Here is a 7,207-nt window from a genome sequence, read left to right as displayed (position 1 = left end):
CGTGTCAGGAGCGTCACATCTGCAGCTCAAGTCCTCCTTCCCACACCCTGTGAATGGGGAGAGCCTCGCCATTTTGTAGATGGTCAGAGAGGTGAGTCACTCATCCAAGGTCACACAGCAGAGGCTGAACCCAGCCCCACACTGTGCAGCTCTTCCCCTGCCCAAAGCTCCTCCAGCTCCTGAGGCTGAACCAGGGCAATGGTTTGGGCACAGAACAGAAGAGTTGTGTCTGATGCCACTTTTGGGCAAGAGGTTGGGGACAATTGCCTCCACTCCCACCCAGACAAAGCCACCCTCTGAAGCTTATGATAGCCCTTGGATGATTGTTAAAATCTGGGACCCTGGGCCACCCTTTGCCCCTAGATGCCAGGCAAGTCAAATCAAAATCAAAGATGTGTGTTGTGGGAGGTGGGATGGGAGTTGCCGCTCTGTATGGACTCGAGCCCACCTTCACCTTGGCCACCCCGACCTGTTGACTCTGCACAGCACCAGAACTGGCTGCCCTGTCAACATCCCGATTTCCAGTGTCTGGTCTGGGGCAGCTGCTGGCTACTGTCCCACAGCCAGCACTGCACGTCCACATCTACCCTCACCCCCCAGCCCTGTGTGCACCAGGAGGCTGAGAAGAGGGCAGCCAGGGTGGCTCAGCAGGATGACCGGTTTGAAGCCAGCACAGCTCTGCTGACCCTAACTCTTTCATCAACTAGAGCCTCAGTTTCCTCTTCTGTATGATGAGGTGAGCCTGGAAGCAGGGGCCTGTCTCTGCCTTATTCATCTCTGAGTCCTTCAGAGCCTAGAACAGTGCCCAGCACCTATTTATAGCAAGGTTTCAATGAATACCTACTGAGTGATGAGGGCTTCATCACTGGCCTATGAGCTGGCTGTGTGGGGAGCTGATGGGAAGAGATGTGAGGTCCCTTCCCCAGATCCCAAATCAAAATCCTGGGGTCCAAGGAAAGGGTCTGTGTTTGTGAAAAGCTCTCCTGGGTGACTGGGATTCAAAGGACTGCATCATCTTTGTAGCTCCTTCTGTCTCTGTGATCTGAAGGTAGAGGCAGGGGAATGTCCTTGATGACCTTTTGAGGTCCCTCTGGGTCAGTGAAGCCAGAGGATCCAGTATTTGTGTGGGTGATGCCTCGGGAAGGGGGAAAAAGGGGAGGAGGAATGGTGGGCGGGGGTGGGTAACGGGATCTGACATCCAGGGGCAGTGACTCAGGCCCTCAGCACCATGACAGTGTGTCTGCATTTAGCCACCGGCTCCTGTTTCCCTGGCGAGCGGCAGGCTCTGGGCCCCCCACCCCGCCCCACCCTCTCTCCATCTCACCTCAGTGCTGGTGGCTTCCCAGCTGCCCTAGAAACCCCTCAGCCAGGCTGGGTGTCACAGGCCCCGACACGGGCAGGAAACTCTGCCAGAGGCAACAGGCCCTGTTGCTCCAGGCAACAGCCTGGCCCGCCGCTGTGCCCTGTGCCCTGCTCTGCTTCCACTCCACATACCACCAGCACCGCTAATACCCCTGTAGAAGGAGCTCTCCAGGATGAAGCTCCAGACTGGGTTGTAGGGGGCTCAGACAAAAGAGAAACTGCCCGTCTTCAAGAACCTTCAATCTAATGGGGAGACAGGTGAACCCTCGCCCCCGTGGGAACTGCCAGTTGGATAGGGAAGAAGGGACACAGCAGAGAGTCACAGCACACAGGAAGACTATGTCACACTGCCAGGTGCTGTGGGAGGACAAAGACAGTCAGTGCTGGGGGCATCTGGACTGGGTGTGGGCCCATGTGAGCAGGAGCAGTCAGAGAGGCCTCCCTGGGGGAGGAGGCATTGGAGCTGATCTGGGACGGAAGGGACGGATTTGGAGAGGACAGCAGAGGCCCTTAACTGCAACCTGGGCAGAGCAGAGGGCCTGGCCGCCTCTCAGAATGGCCTCCACCCTGGCCCAGGGCAAGGTCAGTCCCAGCTTTGCTGAGCAAGCAGGTGGGTAGGGAGGGGCTTCTCTGGCTCTTCCGGGCCAGCCTGTCTCCATAGGCACATGTTCAAACCACCTCGGCCTCTGAAGGGCTTTGGGTCCAACACATCTAGGTTCGAATCCCAGCTCTGCCACTTACGCAACTGCGAGCCCCGCCCTTTCCAAGAGGCTTCGCTTCCCCGTCCGTAACATGGGAAGAGCCCCTCCACCCTCCCAGCTGTGTGGGGATCAAACGGGGCCGTGCTGGACAGCTTGCAGCCAGGAGCCCATGCCCAGAAGGCATTCTAGAACTCAGGGCTAGAATAATTGTCTTCCGGAATTCTCTTTTACCTCTGACTGAAATCCCACCTAAGGCGCTCGCAGGCATCACCTCTGACACAGAGATGGAGCAGACAGTTGCCGGGAACACAACCTTCTAGACCTTTAAGGAGAAAGCTGCCAACTTTGTCCTCTTGGGGCTGCTGAATGTTCTGAGAGTCAGAGGGAGTGCAGGCACAGAATCCAGGTCCCCATGGGGGCTGGCAGGGGACAGCTGCACATTTTACACCCCCTGGCAGGGCTCAACCTTTCCTTAGAGATGGGCTGTGAAGGTTGTCTGCCTTGAGGGAAGGAGCTCCTGACGTCACAGAGCGGTGGTGCTTCCACCTACCCTGTCCCCAAGGAGCCTGCACACTGATGGAGGAGGTACAGCCGTGGAGGAGAACCAGAGTCTGGAGGGGAGGCACAGTCCTCAGGAGCCCCCAGGCTGACGGGGGAAACAAAACACACAATAAACCCCAAACTTGCAAGGTTCTGGGGCAGGCACCGAGGTCCGAGTGGCAAGGAGACAGGATCCAGCCCTGTGCAGTGGTGAGGAGGCCCCTGGGGCTGCTGTGATCAGCCTGGAATGTCAGGCTGTGAGCTCAGCCCTCTCGGCCTGCGTGTCGGGCTGTCAGCAGGGCCGGCGCACGGGAGAAGATTTCCAGCCCCCTCTGGGCCATGGAGAGGCCTAAATTTAGCTAGTAGACAAGGGGCTGGCCCCAAGCCCAGGGACAGTCGGCCTTATAAAGCGGCCGCAGTCGGAGCCTGGCACGCTCGCCCAGAGGCCTGCGCCCACACCCTCTCCTGTCCAGCCCTCGCCCGCCTGGGCAGGGCCCGGCGCCGTCCGTGGATGAGCCACAGAACCTCTTCCACCTTCCGAGCGGAGAGAAGTTTCCATTCCTCTTCCTCTTCCTCCTCCTCTTCCACCTCCTCCTCGGCCTCCCGTGCTCTCCCGGCCCAGGACCCGCCCATGGAGAAGGCCCTGAGCATGTTTTCCGATGACTTTGGCAGCTTCATGCGGCCCCACTCGGAGCCCCTGGCCTTCCCAGGCAAGTGATCCGGGCCCTGAGGGGAGGGGAGGTGCACAGGGAGGGGACGTCTGCTCCAGGGCGCCACCGAAGGCGCTGTGGCTGCCGGTCGGCCTGGAACAGGTGCTGCACAGCCTGCAGCCATGTGTGGCCACCAAGACAGATGTGGCCACAGGGACAGATGTGGCCATGAAAACAGGTGGGCCTCTAAGGAACAGTTGTGGCCCTGGGGGTTGGACATGGTTCCATGGCCACCCATGCTCTGTAACCACAGCCAATCCCAGCTGGAGCCCTGGAGGGCTGGATGGGTGAGCGGTGGGGGGCAGCCCCCAGGCTCCAGGCCTGGGGTGGGGTTGTTACAGACCTAGCCTCATATACACACACACTGTGCTGGGTGAGGCCCCACCCCCACCCCAGAAAAGGTGGGCTGTAGGAATGAGGAGGAGCTTAGGGAGAAACAGCTAGGGGGGAGGTAGGGCCTGGGGGAGCCGCCCCTTGCCCCAAGAGAAGGAGCCAGAACCCCCGGATCTGCATGCAAGGCCTGCTCCATGCCTCGCTCACAGCAGCCCATCCCACAGCCCGCCCCGGTGGGGCAGGCAACATCAAGACCCTAGGAGACGCCTATGAGTTTGCGGTGGACGTGAGAGACTTCTCACCTGAAGACATCATTGTCACCACCTCCAACAACCACATCGAGGTGCGGGCTGAGAAGGTGAGCCCCCCACCCCCTACTCACCGCATCCCAAATTCTGCTCCTGCCTCCAATGTCTCCTACTCCCCCTTACCATCCTGGGACCCCAGACCCTGGCCAGTGTCCCTTCCCCACCCAAACTCCCCCAGGGCTAACTGAAGGCCTTGTCCCTGCAACCCATGGCCATGGGGCCCCCTCACTGCCTCTCTTTGCACCGAGGTTCCCAGATCCTTTCTTCCAGGGCCTGAGCAGCTGAGGGAGCCTCCGAGGAATGGGAGAGGGATGGAGGGATGTGGGCAGAGGGAGCCTGAGGGGGTGGGGCTTGAGGGTGGGAGATGACAGGTGTGAGATGGTGATGGCAGAGTGAGGACAGCTCCTCTGGTAGCTATAGGGGGGCGGATGCGGGTAGGTGGGGAACTCACCTGGGCAGTGGGGGGAGGGGTTTCTCCATGTGACCCACCTCAAGCCCTCTTCCCTCCCACAGCTGGAGACCCATCCCCCATCTTGGGACCCCTAAATTAGGCCCGAGGCTGGGCAGGGGCCCTGCAGTTTCGGGTCACACACACTCCAAACCACACACAGCGCCCGCCCACAGGTCTCAGGGTCACTGGGTCTCTAGCGTGTCTGAGTCCGAACTTCTAGGAGGCACTGGGGCCTCCACCCTGGAGAGGGTATGGCCAGGCCTGAACAGGGGCGTTGCCCAGGGACAGCCACGGCTGCCAGGAGAGAGGAGAGGACCTGACCCAAGCCTCCTCCTAAGCCCCCAAGGACTGGCTTCTTCCCCTCCACATTCAAGGGTGGATTTCTGGGCGTCCCTGCCAGGGATGCCATGGACTGGGGGCACCAAAACCCACAGGCAGCATGTGCCAGCCCTGCCACCCCCAACAGTGACTCAGCCGCCCCAAACTCCCCTGGACACTATGTGCTGGCTGAGTTGCGGGGGAGGGGCCGGCGCTCAGCCCTGGCGGGCAGATGCCCAATGTGCCCGGGGATCCAGGAAGGCACGGCTCTCCTCTGTCACCTCCACGTTCCCCAGGAGCCCCAGATTCGGAGCCACTGCCACGGAGCCTCCTCTCTCTCCAAGCCCCACCTCTTCCCCATGTCCCTGGCCTGTTCCTTGGAGCTACTGGAGCTCTGCGAAGCACCCCTGCGCTGTCCCTGCAGAGCCTTTGGCCTGTGGCCATCACCACCCTGGGCAGCCCCTCGGCACCTGAGGGCAGAGCCCCTCGGCATGTGGGGTCTGGCTGGGGTTAGAATGGGGAGAAGAGGGCTCTGGCTTGTCACAAGCAGGACAGGGGTCGGGGCAGCCTGCCTGACGGGTCACCCCTTCCCCAGCTGGCGGCTGACGGCACTGTCATGAACACCTTCGCTCACAAGTGCCAGCTGCCGGAGGACGTGGACCCGACGTCGGTGACCTCGGCTCTGCGGGAGGACGGCAGCCTCACTATCCGGGCACGGCGTCACCCGCATACAGAACACGTCCAGCAGACCTTCCGGACGGAGATCAAAATCTGAGTGCCTCTCCCTTCCCTTTCCCTGTCCCCCCGCCCCACGCCTGCCAGCAAAGCCTCGCTAACCCCATTACAACAGCTCCAGGACATCTCAGCCCAGGTTCTAGCCCCCACGCACCCCAGACCCCAGGTGGACCATCCTCCCAAACTAGGGCCCTCCACTCTATCCAGGGCAGGCCAGGGACTCCCTGGCCTGACACATGATGCCCAGATTTCAGATTTGGCCTCCGTCACTTAATCCAGAGTACAGGGGCTGGGGTCAGGGAAGGAAGATCTAAAGAACCCACTGTGGGTCAGGGGAATGGGACCAGCAGGACATATGGGCAAGCTCTGCAGGACAGACAGACAGACAAACCCTCTGATCTATGAAGTCTCTGCAGGGCAAGGGGACCAGGGACCTGGAACCCTCTTGGCCAAGGGGAGTGGGAGGGACAGAGGGAAGGTCACAGGCAAGGGTGCCTATCTAAGTGGAACTAATTGCCCGAGGGCTCAGCAAGGCCAAGAGGAGACAGCCGTGACGGTAAACTTCCCCTCTACCAGCCTCCAAGCCCCACGCCAGCGAGCAGGCTGCCTGCCCACCCCGTGCCCCCAGCCAGCTGGCTGTGCCAGGGCAGAGCCATGCCACATCTGTATATAGATGGGGTTTTTCCAATACAGCTGGTTCGTGATAAACTGCATGAAACTCCTGCCGTCCTGCGCCTGCTGGGGCCTCCAGGCAAGGCCAAGTGGGGTTGGGGGTGGGGCTGGTCCTTCTCCCTCCCACAGGCCTGTGTTCTTGGGGCTGCTCCCATGCAGACAGGATCACCTAACAGAGATGGAAGCCAGGGCATGGATGGGGCTTTGGGTCCTCGAGGTTGGACCCCAGCTTCTTGCCACCTTCCCCTCCGGGCAGTCAGCTCTCCATCCATCCCCCTCTTTAATCTATGAATCTATAGGCTCGGTGTGTGTAACACACACACCCCTATCGTTGTCCTTCAAATACTCAGCATTACCATTGGTTGAGGCCAAATTCAGAGCTTTCTCAAATCAGATTTACAATCTCCATTTTCATTAACGGGGAAACATCCCCGAGCCACTGAGTGCTGTGCTTTGTCACTGAAGGTTAGATCTGAACCCAGGGTGTCAACTGCTGCTCTCAACTCCCCACCTCTGGGCACTGAGGAGTATTTCCCCTCATTCTACCTCTCTAAGGCTATGCAACCCTCCCCACGTCTTCCAGCTGGGGGATGGGGGGGAGTCATAGGAAAAGCCCCCATCTCCCATCTGGGATAGGGACCTTCCATCAGCCTTAACCCTGGGAAATGCCTGCTGCCCCCAATGACTCTTGGTTTCGTCTCCCACATACAGAAGCAGGGTGGAGGGGAAGGGTGGGTCTCAGTTAGCAGGGGTCCCCAGGGCAAGTCAGCCTCCTCCCTCCATGCCTCTCTGGTCAGTGTGCCTTAGGGTGGCCTCTCACTCCCACCACTCTGGGCCCCTTGGGGGAGGACTGGGGAGGGGGCCGTGGGAGAGCCCTGACGCTGGAACCTGTATACACAATAAAGGACAGTCTCACAGACTTCTGGAGGCCGCCTGCCTGGAGTTCTCAAACTTAGGGCAGGGCTGGAAACCCTGAGAGAAACAGACACACCTTCTTTGAGATTTGGGGATGGGGGTTGTAGCTCAAGTTAAAGCTGAAGACCTCACAAAATGTGGGCGTTCCTCGGCCTCCTCCGT

General features: G+C 60.1%; 1 protein-coding gene across 8 annotated transcripts, besides 2 other annotated features; it reads left to right on the top strand.

Moving 5' to 3' along the window:
* On the top strand, nucleotides 1,484–7,049 carry HSPB7 (heat shock protein family B (small) member 7). Of its 8 annotated transcripts, NM_001349682.2 has the most exons (4): nucleotides 1,484–1,944; nucleotides 3,226–3,313; nucleotides 3,871–4,004; nucleotides 5,319–7,049. In NM_001349682.2, exons 1-4 carry the CDS (start codon nucleotides 1,609–1,611, stop codon nucleotides 5,496–5,498), a joined length of 738 nt encoding a protein of 245 aa, NP_001336611.1. In that variant the 5' UTR covers nucleotides 1,484–1,608; the 3' UTR covers nucleotides 5,499–7,049. The 8 variants fall into 8 exon arrangements, with proteins under 8 accessions (NP_001336611.1, NP_001336614.1, NP_001336616.1 ...); NM_001349685.2 differs by lacking the exon at nucleotides 1,484–1,944 and having other exon boundaries at nucleotides 3,035–3,313; nucleotides 3,889–4,004; NM_001349687.2 differs by lacking the exon at nucleotides 1,484–1,944 and having other exon boundaries at nucleotides 3,035–3,313; nucleotides 3,871–3,989.
* Nucleotides 2,742–3,486: an enhancer, noted in NCBI's record as "H3K27ac-H3K4me1 hESC enhancer chr1:16344087-16344831 (GRCh37/hg19 assembly coordinates)". NCBI's record gives its function as "activates a minimal SCP1, AML or CMV promoter by ChIP-STARR-seq in primed H9 embryonic stem cells {active_cell/tissue: H9 hESC(primed)}" and the evidence as "EXISTENCE:reporter gene assay evidence [ECO:0000049][PMID:30033119]".
* Nucleotides 3,487–4,233: an enhancer, noted in NCBI's record as "H3K27ac-H3K4me1 hESC enhancer chr1:16343340-16344086 (GRCh37/hg19 assembly coordinates)". NCBI's record gives its function as "activates a minimal SCP1, AML or CMV promoter by ChIP-STARR-seq in naive H9 embryonic stem cells {active_cell/tissue: H9 hESC(naive)}" and the evidence as "EXISTENCE:reporter gene assay evidence [ECO:0000049][PMID:30033119]".

Source organism: Homo sapiens, chromosome 1 (assembly GCF_000001405.40).
Source record: "Homo sapiens chromosome 1, GRCh38.p14 Primary Assembly".
In the NCBI taxonomy this organism is placed as follows: domain Eukaryota; kingdom Metazoa; phylum Chordata; class Mammalia; order Primates; family Hominidae; genus Homo; species Homo sapiens.
Note: the sequence above shows the minus strand (reverse complement) of the source record. Positions and strands in the feature narration are given on the sequence as shown.

Bases quoted from the DNA above. Each gene is read 5' to 3' on its own strand.
- HSPB7 (NM_001349682.2), top strand. From the start codon at position 1,609: ATGGGGAGACAGGTGAACCCTCGCCCCCGTGGGAACTGCCAGTTGGAT. The intron at 1,945-3,225 runs GTCAGTCCCAGC...CTCCCGGCCCAG, and splicing joins CCACCCTGGCCCAGGGCAAG to GACCCGCCCATGGAGAAGGC. The intron at 3,314-3,870 runs GCAAGTGATCCG...CCCATCCCACAG, and splicing joins GGAGCCCCTGGCCTTCCCAG to CCCGCCCCGGTGGGGCAGGC.